Consider the following 24,836-nt stretch of genomic DNA (forward strand, 5'->3'; position numbering starts at 1 on the left):
TCTCTTACTACCTGAATTAATTAAATCTAATGAAAAAGAATCTTTTGTAGAAAAAAAAATGGCCAGATGTGGTGGCTCATGCCCGTAATCCCAGCACTTTGGGAGGCTGAGGCGGGCAGATCACCTGAGGTCAGGAGTTCAAGACTAGCCTGGCCAACATGGTGAAATCCCATCTCTACTAAAAATACAAAAATTAGCTGGTGTGGTGGCACACACCTGTAATCTCAGCTACTCTGGAGGCTGAGGCAGGAGAATTGCTTGAATGTGGGAGGTGGAGGTTGCAGTGAGCAGAGATCATGCCAGTGTACTCCAGCCTGGGCAGCAGACTGAGACTCTGTCTCAACAATAACCACAACAAAAAACCACAAACTGGCAGAAATTGGCCTACAGGCCATTTATTTCCAACTTCACTCAAATGGACCTTCCTCCTAGAAAGGAAAACCATCCTCATTTAATATTAAGGGACTAAAAATGAAAAGAGGTGTCAGTATATACATTCTGATCACATCCGTACTTGGAAGTTCATACAATGAATTCATCAAACTCTCATTCTTCTTCTGGGGAAATATCTAAACTCCATTGCATTTCCTTATTCCACTGTGGCCCATTGTGGATTGTGTGTTATATTTGAATATATCAAATCTAGCAAATTGACATTGAAAACCAAACATATCAGAGACAAACTATAGAAACACAATAGAGAAAATAAATCCACCTCTGCCAAAGTATGATCTTTCCAATCATTTCAACTCCTAAAAGTAGAAGGAAGCTTGGAACTGGAGGTGTTAAGGAGTTTGCTTGGAAAAAGCAATGAAATAAATATTGCTGTCTTTCAAGAATATATATGTCTAACTCACCTCAGGGTTTGGACCTGGGTGTTGAATGAACTGAGGATCTCTTTGGCAAGAAGCTCTAGTAGATGACAAATTCTTACTCTTGTTGTATTGCTCAAAGAATGCCCCCTACTTCTTGATAGCATTTCTGAGGTGCCAGAGCTTCAGGTGATAAATGACATTTTTATTCTTGACATGTTACTCTTTATTATATCATTGAGAAATAAAGTTCAATAAGTGACTTCTGATAATACTTTACTGCGGTCTTTATGAAAGATCGATTCCATTAAGTAGGTACATTTCAGTTGCTATTACTTCAAGTGATGCCATAATGTACTTGAAATTCAGTCTTTAGTTAATAATAGCAAGCTTATTGAGTGTATTAGAGATGTGCTAAAGTACTTACTTTTGGGCCTGGTATCAGCCAAGACATAGTATTTTAGACTTGCAGGCTTTCCATGTATTTCCCCCAAAATCTTATACATATATATATATAATTTAATATGTATCTATAGTGTATATATATGTCTAATATATATATGACAGAGTATCTTACATATGGCATAGCATTTTATTATATATGTCATGGTGTTTTAGACCTGTATGCTTTCCATGTATTTTCTCCCAAATCTAATATATATATATATATATACACACACACACATACAATTTTTGAAATGCAAATATGTGTGCAATCATTTTTTAGGGTATTATCATTTAATATACTAAGGTAACCTCATTGATTAAAACTTGAAATATGACTTTACTCGAAGTCACTTGGGAAATATATTGATGGTCATGCTATTCATAAAAATGAACTCAAGTCTACCTGTCTAGAAACTGAGCAATGTCACTTGAAAAGAATACAGCAGTAAGAATAAGAAACTAAACCAATTATAGTTTTTACAAATAATTATTCTTATGATCAGGAGTAATAGTTGTGTGCAGTGAAAAAGGGTGTAATATTAACTAAAGACTAGAGTTTGATTTCTCTCAGCTTTTAGCACTCAAGAAAATGTGATGAGAATGTCTGGGCTAAGCAGGATGGATAAACTTTAACAAAAAAGTTGTAAAAACAGTACAAGGAACTTTCATATCCTGAAGGGGCAATTTTAAAAGTAATTGTGAAATTTTAATAACATAGGGAAGTACTCATTCATCTATTGTTAAGTTAATAAGCAGCCTAAAAATTGGCTTACACATTATAGAACCAATTAAGCTTTAAAAAAACAAAGAGAAACTCACACAGAAAGGAGACTGGAAGCATGTGCTCAAAAATATTAACAGCGGCATGCATACATAATAGGATTATAGATGATTTTATTTGTGTTTTTCATTTTTCTGATTTGTTAAATAATAAAAAATTCCTGTATGCAAAGAAAGCATGTTTAAGTAAAAGTATATTGTATTGGTAGTGTTAAATGTGCTTGTGCCATTTTTATTCAGGTAGGGGTGTGTGTGTTTGTGTGTGTGTGTTTCTGCACATTGATAATAGCAAAATACCAGTTGTATCAGTGATCCATGATGAAATTGTTAACACTGATGATGCTATTTCACTGTGGAATTTTCTTGTGATGTTGAGAATCTTCTTTGTTAGTTTTTTTAGAAGTAAAAGCTTATCATAAGGAAAGTATCAAAAAATTAGGATTTGAAATTTGTAATTAATATTAATTTAATAACTCAACTAAACAAATTACAAATTTTAGGATTTCATTATGATGTAGCTTCATTGCTTTAGCATGAATTTCTCTCTACCATCAGAAAATAAACTTCTTACCTGTCCAGTATGGAGCATGTAGACAATTTTGTGGCCAGCATGAAATTTTTACAGTGATGATACCAGCAAACACCTCCAAGATATAATGTCAGATCTGGTTAATCAGTATGTTAAAATATGTTTGAATTTGTCTTGATTAGAAAAATAGCAATCAAAGCATTCAACTCTTTTCACTTGTTGAGACAGATGGCCTATCTTTATGAAGGCAAATATCCAAAAACAACAACCCACTACCTTATCTTTCAAAATATGGTGCTCAGAATCATCTTGGAAAAGAGCTATTTAAGCCTAATAAGCCATATGCTTGATGAATTGATTTATTCCATTTTGTAGTATAGACATAAAAATCTTCTTTGCAGCATCTTTATCATATCTGCATTCTCTGCAACTCATTTATAAAAATTAGCAAAACTTCCAAATAAGGAATAAATTATTATAGAGAATTCAGCTTCTGTGTCTTACAAAAGAAAAAAAAAAATGTGTCTAAGTGAACAGTCTCTGATTTGCCAGATATTCTCCCCATAAAGTTCTGTGTATTTGAAGAGCAAATAAACTGACAGCTTCCTTGGTATGCATAAAGCAGGTCTAAAATTATTCCAGAAAGAATCCCTCAGAGAAATGCAACTTCCCTGTCATTCTTATGTATTATTTAAGGTAGAGATTGACCATGGGCATAGAAGAAATATACAATGTTTCTGGGTCCTAAAAGAAGAGAGTTCATATACTTTTTAATTTTATGTATTTTAAGATATATGTCAGTGCATTGTATTTAGCATGGAAAAGAATGTCCTATCAAAATAAGCAGCTACTCCTGCATGTAGTTTAGTGGCAAACCCACCTATTAACCTCTAGCCACAACCAAATAACCCCACACTTGAAACCTGAGGTTGATTAGATGAACCTTTGTTCCCCATAAAATTCTTTAAAATTATACATTTCATTAAAAGAGGAACATATTTGGTCAACTTAGAAACACATTGTTGTGCAATAGAAGAGCATGGCTTTGTTATTAGATGGAGATGCATTCTAAATCGGAATCCACCATTTGCTTAACTGGGAACTGCTGGGTACATTATATAAACTCCCTGAGGCTGAGAGAGGATAGGAAACTGTGATGAGGTAAAAAATCAAAACTAAATTTTAAAAGTAAAGTATACTTGACTTTTGCATGGGATATTATACTTACATAAATGTGGCTATTTCTGATCATCTGAGGTACTGGATTTCCAATTATTAGATCAATTACAAATTCCTTTGCCCAATAAACACATAATATTTGAGAAAGTCTTTCTTTCCACTTTAATTGTGAAGCATAAACAAAAGTGTAACCTTTGTGGAGTACGCTGAGTCTTTAACTGAAAGAGATGGCGTATCATTGTTAGAAGAGAGACCAAGAAGTTGGTCTAAATTATCAGTCTCCAAAGGCTATGATATTTGTTACCCAAGTTGTGTCTGTGTTTGTGTGTGCATGTGTATATGTAGGTGAGAGTGTGTGTGTGTGTGTGTGTGTGTGTGTGTGTGTGTATGTATGTGAGAGAGAGAGAGATAATGAGGACCAATTTAAGACTTAGCTTAAAATATCTCTACAGGATTCCAGGAGATTGGATGAAGTTTAAGTTATGAAGTAATCTAGGAAACATTAATAACTCTCTCTGTTGGTCTGCAAAATCATGTTATTAAAACTCAAACCATTTGGCAAGAATCATCATCAATGTATCGAATGCACCTGAAACAATCACGAGTTAACTTTTCCATCTTTCAATTATCATATTCATGTCTAAATACATTTGTGTTGACTGACTGCTGATCAAACTACATGTGTGCGGAAAAGGACAAAAGATAGAAATGTGAATGTTGGAAAAATACTTACTACTTAAATGCAAGTATTTTGATAAAAAACATTATCAGTGAGCTCACCAAGGAAATGTTATCTGGGTGCTGGATTGGTAAAGAAATATCTAGCTATCAAATTGGGTACAGTGGGATTTAAGGGTTCACCTGGAAGCTCTATCAAAAGTTTGCTTAACTCTAGCAGACCACCAGGATCCCTCTGGTTCCAGTGGGCTTTTAGAATCTCCAAAGCTCTTAGACTTGAACCACATTTCGTTTTTGGAAACAGACTCAGAAAGAAAGAGGAACAGGAGCAGCTAGGAAGTGTTTTTAGTAATGGTTCAGAAAGTGGGGTCCCAGGAGCAGCAGCATTATAGCCTGAGGAGAAAAGAGAGGGACTTGTTAGATATGGAAATTCTTCGGCCCCACTCCAGACCACCTGAATCAGAAACTAGGGTTAGCAGGCCGGGCAAGGTGGCTCACACCTGTAATCCCAATACTTTGGGAGGCTAAGGTGGGTAGATTACCTGAGGTCAGGAGTTTGAGACCAGCCATCTTTCAGTAAGAAACATGATTACTGGAGGATGTGGTATACCACCTAGGTTTGTGTGCAACTTTTTTTGCCGTGATAAGATTATCTATTACTCAATCTTAGAAGTAGCAAAAGAAATTATGGAATGCTTTTTAAGGCATACTTCTTCCTTGAATCAGTAATCAAGGAAAAACTATGGCAGGGAAAATAGAAAGGTTAGGCAATTTGTATTTCCCAATGGTTTGAAAAAACAGTGGCTGTTGCATTTCTGCTAAAGGCTGCTAAATCCAAATTGATGAAACTTTTGGCCCAGCCTTGCAGAATTCCCTTTGAAATGTTTTGTCATGTCTGTCAGTTTAGTCATAGTTTAAGATGTTACATGTTTAACTTAGGGAGATGAGTGCAGAGTCTGAAAATATGTCATCGAAAGCAAAAAAAAAAAAAAGTGACTTCAATTTATGACAAAAATACAGCAGAGGGACTGAATTGGAATCTTCAGAGAGCATGAGTATTTGAGCCCCTGCCAAATGTTAATCCCTTTCAATGGAAAGAAGGATTAGAAATGTACATTGGCCCTATATCTTCATTTAATTCAGGACTACTAGTTATCTAGAAACATTTTTGTTATTGTGTCTAATTTCGCACTATTTTTGGCATCATTTTCAAAAACCTTTACCCTGGTTTATTTATTTATTTTTTGGCTCTGATCATCAGTATTAATTCAATTCTATTTGTTTTCTACATAATTAAATTGTTCTATGTGAGCATCAATCTATTACAGTGTTACAAGTTAGTTCATTGTTTCAAGGAGGTAATGTTAGTATATCTCTGAAATAACATGTAGGTCTCTGATTGAGTAATGAAATACGATGTATTCAATTTCTTCTCTCTATTTAACCTACCTGGAACCATGTTTGTCAGACTAACTCACCACAGAGTGAGCATGGATAAACTTGTATGAGGTCAAAGCCCATACCACTGAGGATACTAATATAAAAGATTACCAATTTGTGACACCTTGCTATTGCATTATTATCCATGCTTACGAGGCTGGTTGCAGTGAGATGTCTAATTTGAATTTTCTGAACCATGCCTTTAAGGCTCACATACCTGAGGTATTTATCCAAACACATTGTAGGTTTACCTCCCTCAAATATCCAGCCATCCATCCGTTTCCTTCTGAGCAGAGCAATAAAAATCAAGCCAGACCCTATGCTTTACGTATAGAACCAGTAAGATTTACAGCCAGGCTGAGTATAAAATCATAAAACTTTCAGTACGTGGTTAATATATAACCATCAAAATAACAGAGTGCAATTCTAAATTTATGAGGCTGAACTTAACACTGAATATCAAATAAGAATCACATTGATCTCTGTAGCGGATGACTTAAAAACACATTAGGTGGCATAAACTGCAAGACAGTACATTGATTTAAGCATAAAATGCATAGCGCTCAATACTTTACCACCTAACGTTTCTCAGTAATGAACAAAGCTGTTGTATATTGATGAAAGGAAAATTATTTGTTTTGTTATATTACAGTGCTCACAGAGATGCCTTGTATTTAGGCTAGGCAAACATGGTTTGAATCACATTTAGCAAAGGGTCACATTGGATGGACATTTTACTGAATTTATACTTGTTTCTCAAAATAACTGTACAGAAGCATTATCACGATGACAGTTTTCTCATTTTCTCTTTTAACAGAGGAAAGATTCATACCAGGTAGATACGGACTTTTTGTAGAAATACACTTTACTGTAAGTTTTCTGATAAAGGCAATTACATGGAATTTTAAGGTTGATCTCTCTAAGTGCATGAAATGATCTTGTAAAATTACCATATTCAGAAAATCTAAAAGCATATTTTAAAAAGAAACAATAATTTTATGGTAAATACATATTTTATAAAAATCTTTACTGTAGAAGGATCTTTAAAAAATTGATTGGAATGAGGAATATTAGGAAATGTTAATAGCTACAGGTGTGTCCATGTAATATAGATAGCAAAATGGATAAAATTGGTTCTGATATGGGGTGAAAAACAAAAGCTAACACTCGGCAAGTGATTTAGGGTGATTTATGGCGTGATTTATGGAGGTAGTAGGGGCCCTGGTTCGCTAGAGAGAGAGCACCCACTTCTCAGCTTCCTCTATCTGATTGTTGTGTCTGGGTGTATGAAAATATCAGATCTTGGGATCTGCAATAAAAGTGAGACATACAGATTTATCTGTGAAGTCTCCTGATTTTAAAACACTAACAGATGATTTAAATGGGAAATAAGAGGTACTGATCAAATGTAACCTATCTTAGGTCGATTTCCAGCACTCACACTGCTGGTTAAAGATCACTCATCTTCAGGCTTCTGGGAACGTTGCTTCATCCAGAGGAGCAAGAGTTATCCTTTCTGTTGGTGGAAAAAATAATCAGTGGAAGAATCCGATATTCAAATTTTCATAATTTGCTTGGGAAATATCACCTTGGTACATCAGTTAATATTTTACTAAATGAGCTGTGTTGTATTATAAGTTTCCATCAGGCGGGTGGTAGCTTCAAGACTTTGGTGAGAAAAGCTCCTTTGCAAGTTGGTTCTCTTTCCTCACAAGTATCCACAGGTAAAGAATTTTGCCAGGACTCAGAGAACAGCATTCACTCACTGAAGTGTTAATGGCAAAGCAAATCTAGGTGCAAAGTTGGCTGACAGGTCCGCCACAGGAAGATTTCTGTCTATCACCATTTCAACTGTAGGATAGGTAAGTCCCTTTTCATGAAACAGTGCTGGGAGGAAATTGTATCATTCTTTCCAATAAGTGACTCTTTAAATGAAAAAAAACTACTACAGCTTTAACTTTACATTCAAATAAATGATATATGCATATTTGTAGCATGTATTTTACCTGTTGTACACTTTCTAGCATTATGTTTTCAGGCTAGTTTTCCTTCATAATAAATTAACTTATTACTCTTCATGACATGCAAGATGGACTGTGATGTTAAAGAATAATGTTTTCTAATTATCATTGACATTTGCAGAGAAGATTAAAATTTAATAAAATTAATTGTCCATTCTTGAATGGCTTACTTTGCAGTTAATCATAGAACTCTGATTTCTCTTACTCTTATGAAAACTTCTGAATTTCCTGTGTCTTATTAATATCCATAGTAAACCCAGCACTTAGAAAGTAAGTTAGATTTTTTCCTTCTGTTGACATTGTTGAAGCAAAAAAAAAAGTACTGATTTTGAAAAAATTCTATGGTTGAAGTTTTTCAACTGAAACCTTTACCAGTAATCTCACCCATCTTATTAGGAAAACCTAACTTCTGGAGGTTATGTTGAATGGTGAGGAATGTATCCTCTTCGCCGTGGTACATCTCTAGTAATATAATTTGAAGTGCTAGGGCCCCTTGCATCCATTTCTGAATCTATTATTAGTTGATTAAATTAGCTGGCTGGATCAGTACAGTGAGAAGAGACGCAGTAATGATATTATAGAATTAGTATGCTATGATGAATTGTCAGGAGAAGTAATTGTGACAGCCCTGTGGCCATATGCACTTAGCCATGCAATTTATAGTCATTTGGAGAGCCAAGGACTTTTCAGTTTGGGTTAGGAAATTTGCTCCTGCTTTTGACATAGTTTGAGGGATATGTGTGTAAGAGTGAAGGGGGTGCTTAGCAGCGATTCAGGAAGAAATCAAAAGTCTCACTTCTTAGCCATTGGCATTTGGATGATTTTCAGGGAATAAGCCAGTGTGTGGATGCCTTTATTGTAACAGTGCCAATTCCTTTAAATAGATTTATATGATAGTGCCGTTACTTTATGGTTGCTGAAGATAACGTTACTTTGGGTAAGATAAAAGTAAATGCAATCTGGTATCACAATTTCCCTTGTTATGGAACACTGTAAATTCTCATCCATGTACTGCATTTACAGCAATCCTGAAAACATTGCTGGGGTTGTTTTGATTTAAATACATACGGGGCTCCTAATTGCAAGTAGTTTTTAAGCAACTTAAAATATAACGTTACTTTTTGTTTGTTTGTTTTGCAACTATTTGCAAGATAAACGGACTGTCAGGTGCCTCTAAAAGGCTTATGATGACAGCAGTTGGCAATGCAAATATTGGCACGACACCACATTAGGGCAAATTTATTGCAGAATTACCAAAACATGTATAACTGTGAAGTCACCTCAGTACAACTATTATATGAGAATTACTCTCTTGCTGTTTTTGTTTTTGTTTTTGTTTTTGTTTTGTTTTTTCATTTTATGACTACCAGGCTACAGTAATATTCAGTAGTACAATGAACATGCTTACTGACATTCTAACTCCAAACCAGATTCATGCAGAAAACTACTCCTTTTTCTTTTAGCTGTCTATAGATATTTTCTGTGTATAATCGATCGCTTTTATTTCTCAAACAGGATTTTCATTTGATTACAGATGATTGTTTCGAGATCATTCAAATCAATCAAATGATGTTTGATTACATAGATTGTTTCGTTTTTCTTTTCTTCTCTTGTCATTGTTTTATCCATTGTTAACTCAATGTCAATATTTCAAAGATAATCTATAATCAAATATTGTCTTAGGATCTTATTTTATGTCTTAGCCCCTTCTCCATGTCCCTAATCTTAATCACCCAGAATTACACATTTAGAAACACTTCTTCAGTAATTCTGTAGTTGCACATTTCACTTTGAAGGTAATAGAAGGGTGTCTGTCACTTCTTCATTTCTGTGTCCTTCCAGCTCACTAGCACTCTTATCTGGGAGTTATTTTTGACTCTCCTCCTTCACCTTCCAAGTCTAATTTAACACCAACACTTGCTGATTCCTTCCCAGCACAGTCCATCCCTGGCCCCTGCCATCATTCTATACTGGAGTGCAGTGCTCCCCTCTTAGTCCATCTCTCTGCCATCTCTTCCCAGACCAGTAGAACCTATATATACTGAATTGCCAGATGGATCTCTTAAATTTTTATTATAGCCCCTCATATTTCCTCCATGTGACATGAGGCCTTTTGCTTATTCTTATTCCAGCCTACAGAACTTATGTGCTTTTTCTCTCCTCTATCTTACCCTTTCCCTAGCACACATAGATGGCTAACTATAATTGTAATTTATAAATTTTTGTGCCAGGTACTGTGCTAAGTGCTTTCCATACATTATCTAGTTTAAGCATCATGGCATTCCTACGTGGTAAGTGGTGTGATTCCCTTTTTATAGTCAAAGAAACAGAGGTGTGAAACAACTTGCCCACCAAAGTGAAGGTGTAAGAGGAAGAGCCAGGGCCCAAAAGTAGGTCTGTCTGACTTTGTAGTGAAACCATCAACTACCGTGCAGCACTGGCACCCTGGCTACACGTGGTTGTGTTGCTGTTTCCCTGGTGTGGATTTGCATTCAATATTCATCTTTTTGATAATTTGTGTTCCTCCTCCCCTTTGTGTACATTTGGAGACTGACCCCACCTTTCATTTTGCATTTTCATATTTGTTTTACTGCATTAATTTGCATTGAATAATGTGTCACTAAGTATTTGTGCTTGTACACGTACATCCTCACCTAGACCACAATCAAATTAAACTGCTTTGGAGAGCTGGGCACGGTGGCTCACGCCTGTAATCCCAGCACTTTGGGAGGCCAAGGTGGGTGGATCACCTGAGGTCAGGAGTTCGAGAACAGCCTGACCAACATGATGAAACCCCATCTCTAATAAAAATACAAAATTAGCAGGGTGTGGTGGCACATGCCTGTAATCCCAGCTACTTGGGAGGCTGAGGCGGGAGAATTGCTTGAACCCCGGAGGTGGAGGTTGAGGTGAGCCGAGATTGTGCCATTGCAACAAGAGTGAAACTGTCTCAAAAAAAAAAAAAAAATATTGCTTTGGAGAAACGTATAGAATCAAAATATTTTCCATTCTTCAATACAATACTTTGGACTTACAGTCCCTAATGAAGGTGGACATTCAACTTACTAATTGTTCCTCTTTGTCAGGGTGACTTTGTTGCTATATTATATTTTAATATTTTCATTTGGTAAATTGCAGGAAAATTAGATTGTCTTCTATGAAGCTTGAGAAAAGCTAAGTTTTGCAAACAAGCTCCTGACCATACAGCAGTAGCCAGAACAATGAACAGGACATGAACAATAAAGAATCTGTGACCAACAGGAAGATATGGAGATTTGCATACTTTTAAAACCTTATGTGATTAATATTAGATTCAATCTTTACATTTCTTTTTACAACATTTTGTTCCATAAAAAATGTCAAGCGTGTGTTTGCTGGGAAGAGGAAGAGTTCATTATTCTTATGGTTTTCTTCATTATATTTTGAAAAGCCAAGGATGGGGAAATCAACATTGGTAAAAGCAATTAGTGATGTGGGTTGAGGTGCGGGAATTACATCCTATCCCTTGGCATCAAGAATAAATACCAATTATTATCATATATAGAAGTGTGCCTGTGTCGCTTAAAAAATTATGATTGCTTCAAGATAGTTTAAACATTATCATCTAATAAAAGCATATTGAGAAATTAGATAATTTGACTAAAGTATATAACTATACTAAGCAACCTAAACTTAAAATTATGTATATATTTACATATACGTTTCATATCATAAAATACAACATACTATATGTATATACACACACACATGAAAACTTAGATGTGTATGTAGATAGATAGATAGATAGATAGATAGATAATTATTTAAATATGTTGGTAGGCCAGGTAAGGTGGCTCATGCCTGTAATTCCAGCACTTTGGGAGGCTGAGATGGGCAGATCGCTTGAGGTCAGAAGTTCAAGACCAGCCTGGCCAACGTGGTGAAACCCCACCTCTACTAAAAATACAAAAATTAGATGGGCATGGTGGCTCATGCCTGTAATCCCTGCTACTTGGGAGGCTGAGGCAGGAGAATGGCTGAGCCTGGGAGGTGGAGGTTGCAGTGAGCTGAGATGGTGCCACCGCACTCCAGCCTGAGTGAAAGAGTGAGACGTCGTCTCAAAGTAAATAAATAAATATAGATAGATAGATAATTGGGCAGATGGGTATTTAGAACGACAAAATTTCATCAGCATCTTTTCCCGTTTCACTTAAGCTTCTGAAAAGCCCTTCTTGGTCAGAATGACTGAAACAAAGTGATGGCCTTTTCAAAGTTACATAATATATTTTCAGCACATCCCCTGACTAACACTATGAAAAGTGCATCCATTCTAGAGTCAGACAGGCCTAAGTTACAATTCTGGATTTACTCATCACTTTCTGTATGTTTTTAAATGAGTTATGCAACTTCTCTTCAGTAAACCAAGAATAAATATACTTATGATATGAAGTTAAGATTATCCGAAAAGGGAAAACTCAGCCCTCATTTGAACTAAAATCAGCTTAAAAGGCAAATTGTAAGTAACAAGAGGGGACTTCCAATAGTGAGCAAGTTCTACCAATATAGTAAGCATTCCTGGATTTTGCAGCAGCAGAGAGCATGATTGGAACATTTCAATGAGAATTTATTTGGCATAAAGGGAGTTAGAATTAAGTTGAACTTCGAAGTAAGTGTAATAATTAAAATAATAAACGAAAAGAAGGCAAAAGGAAAAGATGTAGGTATAGAGTTTTATACTTTGCAAAAGGTCACCAAAATTCCTGGTGACCAGTTGCTTAATAGGAATAGGGAAGCCAGATGCAGGAGTAGTTTGCAACTTGGAAAGCACGTGTCCGTGAAAAGTGGAGAGCTTATTGTTACCCTGTGTGAAGGAAATTGTAGGCTATGAGACCTTTTAATTTTTCTAGACTATCTTAAAATCCAGTTCTCAAAAACAATCTGATTTTTAAATGATGTCAAATTATTCAAGCTTTCTGGGACCAAATAAACTATGTGGACTCCGGGATGGTGGCCTCTCTACTGTACTGTGAATGAGGACATGTATAGCTGGTAATAAGTATGATGGCAAGTGGAGTGGAGTGGGCTTTACACCCTTCTCAGCAGGGGAGCCCTGGAAGTTCTATGACCTCACCTCCTACCAGTATTCTTCTCACTCACTCACTCACTTCCAGCCATGCGGTCTTTGAATAAGCCAATCCCATTTCCAATTTAGGGAGTTTTGCACTAAGTATTCTTCCTGCCTGAAATGTTCTGCCTCAGGTATCTTCATGTCTAATGTTGTCTCCTTCAAGTTCAGATGTCACCTTCTCAATAAGGCCCACCCTGACCATTGTGTAAACTTGCAACTGCCTTCCCATCCCTGTTTTATCATGATACCTCGTCTTTTTCCGACAGCACCATCATTCTCTACTATAGAATTTACTCCCCTATCACAATTTCTTCTTATTATCACCCTGTCCCTACTGGAATATTAGTTCCAGAGTGGCAGGAATCTTTGTTTTGCTTACTAATATACCTAGAACTAAGCCTGATATGTTGCACACACTCAAAATATTTGTTGCATAAAGAAATGAGTGAAGGAAGGAATTAATTCAATTGTTATTTAAAGACCATAGTAAAAACGTGGACACATACTTTTGAAGCACAAGACTAAACTAAATTAATTGGAGACAAGAGGACTTTAACATTTAGGATTGGAGGCACCAGCATAGTAAGAATTGGGAAAGGCTTATAAAATTGTAAAGGTGTTTTGAGGTCGTGGTTAAACAGTAATACGTCTATGCTAAAACTTTAAGAGTATTTGCTAATTAACTAACCTCATATGGAACAAAACCCCCACATTGTTGATATCTCAAAAGAAATATTAGTCTGACTTAGGCCACTGATCCATGCTACTCAGTGTTGTTTTTCTGACAATAGCAATAAAGGTAATTATATTTGAATATTAATGGTTGTTTTGCAAAGCATTGTTCTGATAGAGTAGTCACTTATATTGAAATTAACATTTCCAGTGTACACACGTTAACCTTGTCCTCAGTCAACAGCTAACTTAAATTAAGTGCCTATTAGAGCTCCATTTAACTAGAGATCAGACCAGCCTCGGCATGGGTGTTGTCCCTGAGGTGTTTAAAGAGAGCCAAGCTTCTGCTCAACAGGTGGCCCTCCTCTTTGAACTTCTAGTGAGAGCTCCAGTGAATATGTGGAGATACGTTCAATGGGCATTGTAATGTGGCAGGACAGAGTGTGGACGTTGGCGACTAATAAACTGGATTTAAGATGGCTCTTCCACGTCCATTAGCTCTGTGGACTCCTAGATAGTTCACAATAAACCTCAGCATCCTTACCTATAAAATAGACAATAGGAACATCTACTACATAAGATTCTTGTGAATATAACATGAGCTAGTATATACAAAATTCCTTATCACACTATTTTGTTGGTAGTATTCTGTTTTTTGTTTGTTTGTTTTGAGATGGAGTCTCCCTCTGTCGCCCAGGCTGGAGTACAGTGCCATGATCTTGGCTCACTGCAACCTCTGTCTCCCAGGTTCAAGCAATTCTCTGCCTCAGCCTCCCAAGTAGCTGGAATTACAGGTGTCTGCCACCACACCCAGCTAATATTTGTATTTTTAGTAGAGACGGAGTTTCACCATCTTGGCCAGGCTGGTCTTGAACTCCTGACCTTGTGATCCACCTGCCTCAACCTCTCAAAGTGCTGGGATTACAGGCGTGAGCCACCATTCCCGGCCGGTAGTATTCTTAAGAATGTTTTGTCTACCCTCTCCATTAATAGGATATATTTATGACTTTTACAAGTAAACGTCGTATTTGTTTGGCACTTGCAATAGTGGTGATTAGTTCGACAAATAGCACAATTATTCTGCTTCAGTAGGATGTAACCTCATATCTTAACCAAAATATAATGTGGCTAGCAATTTTACAATGTTCAAAATACTTCAGAAATCCACAATGTGCAGTTCAACATAATAATTTCTCATTTTCTCCAATCAGCATCCCAGGAGATCTAGTTATTCATGCAGATCAACACGTCCATGATTTAAGCCGTGAGCTTTTAGGAACTTCACTGGCCCAAAGCTAATAGGTGAAAAGATATATACCTAACATTTTAAGGGATTTTCAACTCTTGATGTCTTATTTTGCAAAAGAGCTTTGCAGCAATAATTTATCAGGCAGCCTCTCTGTCCACATTGGAGTATTCTCTAGAATGATTCTTATGTTTATTTTACATTTCCCTTCCCTGCAAGAAGACAACTCCAGGTAAGGAGAATTGTGAGTTAATAAGATGCATGCCACTGATAGCAACAGTCTATTTGATGTCTATTTCCAAAAGAAAAATGCAAAGTGGAGTGTGTAATCCCTTAACGTAAGATACCTCCATGAATCCCAATGCCTCCACGTGAATCCTGATGCCAGAGCTGCAAGGAGCATACACTGTCAGGGTACAGAAAATGAAGACCTCTCTGCTTGAAAGTTTAAATGCCCTGCTCAGCAGGAAGTCTAGAAAGATTTGTTCAACTGAAATGAGCTTATAATCAGGCTTTCATCCAAAGATAAGGAAAGACAACATCCAGTAGTTTTATGATGCACTCTTACCAGGAAAACACAAATAGTTTTGTCCATGTTGTGCAGCGTTGACTCCTGTATAGCATATTTCAAACTGCAATCATGAAAATGTTCCATTTCCGACTAAGAAGAAAAAGTCACCCATGAAACTTGACACCGTACCTTCATTTTTTTTTTAGCAATGAACAAAAAATACACATTGTTAGTGTCACCCATTCTATTTTTTCATTTTCTTTTTATGATTTAGAGGTGTTCCTAAGACTTGCAATTATTTAAATAAAATTATTGTAGCATTTTTAGGGGTCATTGGTACATTTACTCAGCAAAGTTAGCTGCCTGAAAGACAGATTAACTGCTAATCAGTGCTTAATGAGGGCTTTGCCACGCCATGTTTGAGCACTTGTCAGTATAAGAATATCGATTAGTAAAGCCACCTTTTGGACTTATTGTTGGTAAACTGGGTTGATTTCTGAGGTGGATAAAATGCATGGCTAGATATTCTGTCCACTGTGCTGTTGGCAGGCTGTTGTTTATCACAAGGTTTTAGTGTTCTTAATGAACTGTTAATAAGCTGTCAATTATAGTGTTTATGCAAATTAGGGAAAGAGACATTGAAGGATTGATGTGCCTAGCATTAAAAATGCCTTCTTGATACGTTATAAAGTAAATAATTCCCCTTTTAATAATTGTCCTTAAACATTTGCTCTTCTTTGCCACTGAAGCATTCCCACGTTGGGCACCCTGGAAAACAATAGTCCAGGACTTCTTTAAGCATTATACTGAGAAAACAAGACACATCTATCTCTAGGATGTACTTTGCTTTATGTTAGCAATTCTGGAATCATTTTCATTCACCCTCGGCCGTAAGTGAAGTTCAATATCAAGTGTTCTGAAATTCATGGGTAGCTATTCTATGATTCTCATGTGGGGCATCCATTTTTGCCTTTCTTCCCACTGGAGACCATCGACCATGGCGAAGCAACCTCCTCAACCCCTTAAATGTCCTGCGCTAATGGTAGCTGTCCCAAGTCCCATGTGCTTTGTAGTGCCTCAGATTATCTCTTTAGTACAAATCCTTTGTGTGGTTATAAATTGTCAACTGAAACTATTTCTTTTAAAAATCTGCTTCTCTGCCTCTGTCCCGGCAGAAATACCTGTCTTTGGCCAGAAAATCCATTAATTTTCTATTCTGGGTTTTTGTTTTTTTATTTCATATGCCCTTGAATGTGTTGACCTAACATGCCCCACCTGACGTCCTTCAAGGACCTATACAATTGTCTTGTTCTCTCAGTCATTCTTCCGGCCCCGTTTACCCAGGCAGAATAAATCAGTTCCTTTCTGCAGCAGCCCCAGAGTACTTTAAATGAGTTAGATATATTCCAGCACCCCCCACCCCTATTCTGCACACACACACATTCAGAAATTGTGAGCTCTTTCAGGGCTTGGCCTGCTATTTATTCATCTTCAGAAATCATGTCATTCAATGTTAGAAAATAGCTACCTCAAGACACTCTGGAAGAAATTCTGCTCAGATTTCCATTTTATAATAAAACTAAGGTTATTAAATGGTTCCCAATATTTAAAAGGATAATAATTTTGCCGCAATCTCGTCACTTTTATTTTTAATTGTTGTGATCAGAATTCTATCCAGATAGTTATTATGGGAGAACAATTCCTGAAGAATGCTTAACCTCTCAATACAATTAAAGTAGACATCTTTTAAAGGCTCTTAATATTCCCCCCAGAAATGTAAAATTACATCTTGTTTTGTATTGTGGAAGTCATGTTTTGATTATATGAAATTGGTATTTTACGTGAAAAAAAAAATCTTCTGTTCAGCTTGGAGCATGAAGGTTTGTGCAGTTGTTAGCACATTACTTATTCCAAAATCATTGAAAATATTATTCTTGCAGGTTTGGGGTTTTTTCTAACCTCATTCGCTCAGCTCTGGGAGTTATAATGTTTCATAAAGGAAGTATCATAATCTACAGCAAAAATCATGCATCCATATCAGTTGAAATGATGGATTAAGCTGTTTTATTATAAGTATATCACAAATGCAATAAATATTTGCCAATGAAATGCAGTTATCATAAGGTTTTGCACAGTGCAATTTCATGTTAATGTCCAAGTAGAATATAGATGGCTTTATATGTTTGGTTATAGTACCTGCTTTGCAGTTTGAAAAATTTATTTGTAAGTGTTGAAAATATAAATATGAGAGTTCAAAGTATCTATGAGTTATTTCTAAATACCACTTAACTCCTCCCAAGGCAGATGAGGATAGTATAAAACTGCAATTCTCGTGACTGATAAATCAAATGAAATAATCCAATAAACTGGAAGAAAAATTGTGAATTGGTCTTCTGAGAGGCAAGAGAGCATGCTGGTAAGAGCTTGGACTCCGAGGTCAACAAGTATCTTGACCTTCTGGCACCTTCGTTTGTAAGTGTGGAGATAACACCCAGCTCCTAGGATGGCCTTGGAGATTAAATGAGTTTGGGATAACAAATAGCACTCAGTGAGGGCTTACTATGTGCCAGGTACTATCCAAATGCAAATTTCAATTTCTAAATTTTAATCTCTCTCTTTAATCAAACATACAGCTTTTGATATTTGATATGCATTCTTGTATTTTCCTCTTAGGTGCTTTTCAGTTATCTTCCTGAGAATTTGTGCATTTTATGTAGAAATAAGATAAAATACACAAGATATAATATCCTACTGGTCCTTAATTCCACAGCTTAATAACTGTATGAACATGGGAAATTACTTAATCTCTCTGCGTCTCAGTTTCTTCAACTATAAAATAACAATGCTGCTGCTGCTGCTGCTGCTGATGATGATGATGATGGTGAAGATGATGACACCTATTTCATGGGGCTGTTGTGAAAATTGAGATGATCCCTGTTAAGTATTTAGCAGAGTGCCTGACAGTGAGTGCTCAATCACTTATTATTATTGCTGGTAATACTGTCGTTAGCATTACTTTTGCTGTTATTAATGTAGTGTGATTTATTTTTAAATTAGGGTCAATTGAAGGAACTGGGAATATTTTGTGAGTAAGGGTTTTTATGTATATCACATTCGTTCTTCTCATAACCTGCCACCCTCCTCATTTTTGTTACTGGGAATGAAATCGACTTCAAAATAAACCTAAGAACCCGGACTCCCTTGGATCTGACACTGACCCCAGACGCCAAGCCACAGAGGAGTATGCTGCAGTCATTCTCTCTTTGAAATTCTAATTAAAAATACATTTTAAAAGTTTTTTAAATGCATGTTTTTCTTGAATTCTGATATGAGCCATGCAATATAAAATGGCACTGTAACATCTCTTCAAATATGCGCACTTCTATTCACAATAGTATTTTAAAAAGTAATCTTACAAAAGTTTTATTTAAAAATACCTTGCCAGGTGTGGTAGTGCATGTCTGTAGTCCCAGCTGTTCAGGAGGCTACCCCTCTTGGGTTTGTTTTCTCTAAAATAAACCTGTCCTTAATTGTCAAGACACCGTTCATGTTTCTTTCCTCTTTCTTTAATTCTTACAGGGGTGGGAAGATTGCTTGAGCCCAAGTGTTTGAGACCAACCTGGGCAACATAGTGACACCTTGCCTTTACAAAAAAAAAAAAAAAAAAAATTCTAGATTTAAGCATTTTGGTAATGCTTCCATTTCACTGCTTCTTTCTTAACTGTTTTGGTGTGATTGCGATCCATTTTGTAGTTCACTAATTTGGTATTTAACTGAACTGATCTGTCAGATCTATCAAAACATGGGCTGTTGATACAATTTGAGCTATTTCTTCATCGTACCTGTGTTTACTTTGAGAGTTTATCAGCGAATGTTTATCAGGAATTTGGAAGCCTAGCAGCAAGGTGAATTCTAGAAGAAAAAAAAATCAACAACATATGCTCTACATTTTTTTCAATACTAAATTGATCATCTCAAACATTATTTTCACTACAAAAACCTCCATGAGTCACATAAATAGCTTGTCCTTTCAAGATCATAGAATAAAAACTACAAGGACAGATGTGCTCTAGATGTCATTTCCCAGCTGGGGCACTGTGAGCAACATGGCAGGGGTGAAAGAACAACATGTGGTCAGGATGCCTTCGTGTGTTCAGTTTTTATTTTCAAAGAAAAAGTAAAAAAAAGGATGAAAGAAGTGGGGAAGGAAGAGAGGGAGGGAGAAAGAAAGAGAAAGAAAAAGAGAAAGACAAAACAACCAAAAGAAACAGAAAGGCCGGGCGCGGTGGCTCACGGCTGTAATACCAACACTTTGGGAGGCCAAGGTCGTGGATCACCTGAGGTTGGGGGTTCGAGATAAGCCTGGCCAACAGGGTGAAACCCCATCTCTACTAATGATACAAAAATTAGCTGGGCGTGGTGGTGGGCACCTGTAATCCCAGCTACTTGGGAGGCTGAGGCAGCAGAATTGCTTGAACCCAGGAGGTGGATAGTCCAGTGAGCCGAGATCACACCACTGCACTCTGGCCTGGGTGACAAGAGTGAAACATCTCAGGAAAAAAAGAAAGGAAGGAAGGGAAGGAAGGGAAGCAAGGGGAGGAAGAGAAGGAAGGGAAGGAAGGGAGGGAGGGAAGGATGGGAAGGAAGGGAAGGACGGGAAGGAAGGGAAGGAAGGAAGGACGGGAAGGAAGGGAAGGAAGGGACGGGAGGGAAGGAAGGGAAGGAAGAAAGGACGGAAAGGAAGGGAAGGAAGGGACGGGAGGGAAGGAAGGGAAGGAAGGAAGGACGGGAAGGAAGGGAAGGAAGGGACGGGAGGGAAGGAAGGGAAGGAAGAAAGGACGGAAAGGAAGGGAAGGAAGGGAAGGAAGGAAGGACGGGAAGGAAGGGAAGGAAGGGAAGGAAGGAAGGACGGAAAGGAAGGGAAGGAAGGGACGGGAGGGAAGGAAGGGAAGAAGGAAGGACGGAAAGGAAGGGAAGGAAGGGAAGGAAGGAAGGACGGAAAGGAAGGGAAGGAAGGGAAGGAAGGAAGGACGGGAAGGAAGGGAAGGAAGGAAGGAAGGAAAGAAAGAAAAAGAGAAAGAAGCCAACAATAATAATTCCTGGTTTCAGTATCTGGTATTCTAGTGTATTTTTCCATTCAGATTCACTAATTCAGAATTTTCTCTATTCCCTCCTTTTTTTGTCTGTTACTATTAATTTATGCAAGTCTTTTACTATCTCAATTTAAAATGAGTATTTTCTTTCTATAAAAGGCAAAATGCTATAGATACAGAGATCATGCTGTCTCCTCAATAGATATATGAGTTTTTTAAAAAATTAATTACTATTATGGCTACATTGAAATGATTAGTAGGAAATGAATCTAAATTGCTTCTAAAACAATAAAGTTTAAGTGCCTCAGTAACCCTATCCTTTGAATAAATACAACCAAATTTTAGTTAGGTAAATTTTGTTTTGCAAACTTCTACAGGTTATTGAAATTCTTAAAGACTGCTATTGTGTTTTTTTAAAAATAACATTTTGGTCTTCAAATACGTTACTAATCAGCAGCATTCATTTATGGTATACCTAAAACATGCTAGTAAAACTGTAAGCTTCTTTCTTCCTTTTTTATTTTATATATGCTCATTCAAATTTGACTACTTCAAAGTTTTGAAATTGAGAAAAAAGAATTTGAAATTTCACATGTGCCTTTGCAAAAAGTAAAATGATTAATTTGCCTGCAATGCTTTTACAGTGTGTCATACTGAAGGCTTGAAGGATGTATTTGATCTTATCTTAAAATTGAGTGGCCTTGTTTTAGTATATAACTCTGAACAATGAAAAAAAAGAGCATTTTCTGTATCCCAGGTTGCTTTTATAAATGATATCCACCTTCAATAATTGTTCAATCGAGGCCGAGCTCAGTGCATAGAGACAAGAATGTATTTCTTCTCTTTCTTAACAGTGGTCAGGGCCTTACACAAGGATGTGTTCATGTTTTGTTCCTTTGGGCTTCTTGAGGCTCATGGTAGTTCACTGAGAACATGTTCCATCACTATTAAAAATAATGTCCTTCTTCATCAGTAACATCCTAATGTCCTTTAAGTGTTAAACCCATCCCTTTCTGCATTCCCAGAAAGTATTTTTATACACGTGTGTTTTTTTCTCTCTCCTGGCAAATCTATAAATGGAATTTTTGAATGGAATCCTATGATATAAATATCTTTTAAAGCTTTCTCATAGTTTTACCTGCTTTGCAATGAGCCATTTTCTCTTCAAAATCAATGCCTCTCATTAAGACAACTTCTGGCAGGGATGAGGATCTAGCATCAGTTTATAGAAAAGTGGTCATGATTTTGCCTCTGGGTTTGTTTTAATTGTTCCTCTCCATGCAGCAAGCTCTGTGGTTTGAGTAGCAGAGAATTCATTTGTAAGCTTGCCTCCTATGTTTCTCAAAAGATTGTTGTGAGGACTAAATTAATCCATCCAAAATTACTTACTGCACATCTCCTCTGTGCCAGGCCCTGCTACAGGTGCTGCAGACATCCGTGTAAACAAGCCAGTCCCTGTGTTCATGGAATGTAATTTGGAAGTAGGGGGAGCCTGAAAATGAACAAGACAAAAGCACAAGTGAGGACTGAAGAATAGAAAATAAAATATAACTTGTGGGGAGAGCCGTGGAGGTCATCAGGAAGGTCAGGGAAATTCTCTTTCTCTCTCTCTCTCTCTTTTTTTTTTTTTTTTTTTTTTGACTTAGTCTCACTCTGCCCAGGCTGGAGTGCAGTGAAGCGACCGCGGCTCAGTGCAACCTCCGCCTCCCAGGTTCAAGCGATTCTCCTGCCTCAGCCTCCTGAGTAGCTGGGATTACAGGTGTCCACCACCATGTCCGGCTAATTTTTATATTTTTAGTACAGACAGGGTTTCACCATGTTGGCCAGGCTGGTCTCAAACTCCTGACCTCAGGTGATCCACCCTCCTTGGCCTCCCAAAGTGCTGGGATTACAGGAGGAAACTCTCTTAAAATACATCATGTAAGCTGAGAGGAGACTTACAAAAAGGAGATAGCCACAAGGAAACCTGGGAGAAGATAGCATGGCCAAATGTCCTGAGAAGAATGAATGTGGAGTGCTGGTAGAAGGAAGGGAATGAGTGGCTGAGGTGGAGGGCAGAAAAGATTAGACTGGTGGGGAGAGTACAGGGGCAAAATCATCTAAGGCTGTGATCTCTAAGGAGTTTTGATTTTATTTTAAGTGGCAGAGAAACCAACGGAGAGGTTTGTCTGGAAGGGAATAATGTGATATACTCTACATTAAAAAATAATAATTATGTATGTAAAAATCTACCAAGATTGAATCCTGACTCTGCCACTTACTTCCCTAAGCCTCAGTTTTGTTATCTGTAAAATGGCCATCACGATCAATCAAACTCGTACGGTAGAGATTAAATAAAATAATCAACGTAATGTGCTTTGTCCACCATAAGTATTCAACAGAAGGAGGTGTTCATTTAGGTTTTTCTTAGAAGTCCCCTTGGTTCTCCAGCCTGGGCCGTTCATTAGTTTATTTTGTGCTCTCCTCCTGTCCCTTAATATCTGAAATTTTTGACAATTTTCTCTGAGATTCCTGGCATTTGGGCTTCCGGAGATGGCGGGGGGTCTGGTTTGCTGTCTGTTAATTTTAGCTATTCTCCGCTGGAAGTGCCATCACAACTAGAATAACCAGAGAGAATGGGAGGTGGTGCAGCCTATTAAGTGGCCCCATGGGGCTGCCCTAGCAGCAAAAATCAAAACAAACAAACAGAATCCCAAAACAGGTTTGGGCTTTAGGGGTTTTGAAAAATGGACATTTTTCCCATTAATAACATATCCGTTAAACTCTACTGTGACAGCTCTCACAAAGTTTCTTCTAATAACAACATTTCTAATCCAAAATCATTCATTCTGCCTACAAATGTCAGAGCCAAACAATACCTAGCAGATAATTTGGTCCACAGTTTTCAAGAATACAGGGAGTAGAAAATAGAAATAGGTAATCTACTGCTATGTCATATTTCCAATGTTTCTATGCAAGCCAATCACTTTATGGAGCCTGAAAAATTCAAGAATTTTAATGATTCGAAATATCTAGTTGAATGGCTGGTAATCTTCTCTCTTATTTGGGGAATCCCAAAGCTAAAGTTGTACATAAAGAAAGAATTTAAACCTTTGAATATAGAACAAATGATCTACGAATCTTTATTGTTAGCCTAGCCATAATATTACTATGAAATTTTCATAGTGAGGGCATAACATTTAGATTTTAGGTCATTAAGACAATTATCAATTTCTTTTTATCTGAACCATTACATATGGAAGAAAATGATGTACCTTATTTCATTGCTTGGTTAATATCAGCCTGTGAAAGAGAAAGATATTTTCAGAAGAGATACAAAATGACTTAGGTTAGTTCCCCCATATTTAGGTTGATAGCAAAGAAGGCAGGAAAAATATTTTTAGAATGTTAAAGCTGGGACAAAAGTGTATCGCAAGTAATTTGGGTATCAAGGGGAAAAACATTAAAAATCTTTGATAGAAAGTGAAGAAAATTATTTTAAAAATGAGAGTACTTCTTAACAACCAAGATTCAGGAAAAGTTTGAATGAAAGGAAATTTAAGACAGTTGTTTTGCATTACATTATTATATCTCTCCTTTCTCTTTGCCTAGCTAATGTTGTCTAAAAAATAGATTGCATTCAATCTTGAAATATATATGTATACTTCCCTATCTACATCTATCTATATACACAACAACAGACATTTATCGATTTATATATCCATGTACATATTAATCATAACTTAGGAATGACAAGATAAACTTGTTTTTCCTACCACCCAGTGTTTTTTAAAAAGGCGTTCTCTGTTAATACAGAATAACTGCAAATAATATTTTCATGACTATGTCATATGAATAAAATAGGAATTTTAATCATTTATGTATTTACAGTGAGAATCATTATGAATTTATGATTTTACATTTAGCTCATGATTCCAAGGTGTGATATATATATATACATATATATATACATATATATGTATATATATATGTATATATATATATATATGGAAGTTCAATGCTTTCTGTAAACTGGAATTTTAAGTGTATATCTACACTTGAGAAAAATAATGGTCAAGATAAGAGAAAAATATATGGAAGTTAAATTCTAATGCAGTAAAAACCCCCCTGGAAACAAACTGTTACCCCTGGTCAATTACTCACTTGCCACCATAGATTTTTAGGAGAGATTCGCAATATGGGAAAGCACAGTGAGTGGTTTACCTCCATAAAACAGCTCATCATCAACGTGAACTCGTATTTAAATCTGAATTACCAGCATCTGAATTTTTCAGCATGAGGCAGCAAAAGATTGAAAAGCAGTGTTTTCTGATATTGCTCT

At 36.7% G+C, this 24,836-nt stretch overlaps 1 protein-coding gene and 1 long non-coding RNA gene across 10 annotated transcripts in view; both read left to right on the top strand.

Annotated features, from left to right (window-relative positions):
- TENM2 (teneurin transmembrane protein 2) overlaps positions 1 to 24,836 on the top strand; it is a 1,285,129-nt gene that overhangs the window by 428,447 nt on the left and 831,846 nt on the right. The gene's annotated exons all lie outside the window — the stretch shown is intronic.
- LOC124901126 (uncharacterized) lies at positions 298 to 10,633 on the top strand. Its single transcript, XR_007059036.1, has 3 exons — positions 298 to 3,729; positions 6,683 to 6,700; positions 7,581 to 10,633. It is a non-coding gene; the product is annotated as an uncharacterized LOC124901126 (long non-coding RNA).

The sequence above is a fragment of the Homo sapiens genome, chromosome 5 (assembly GCF_000001405.40).
Source record: "Homo sapiens chromosome 5, GRCh38.p14 Primary Assembly".
NCBI classification, from domain to species: domain Eukaryota; kingdom Metazoa; phylum Chordata; class Mammalia; order Primates; family Hominidae; genus Homo; species Homo sapiens.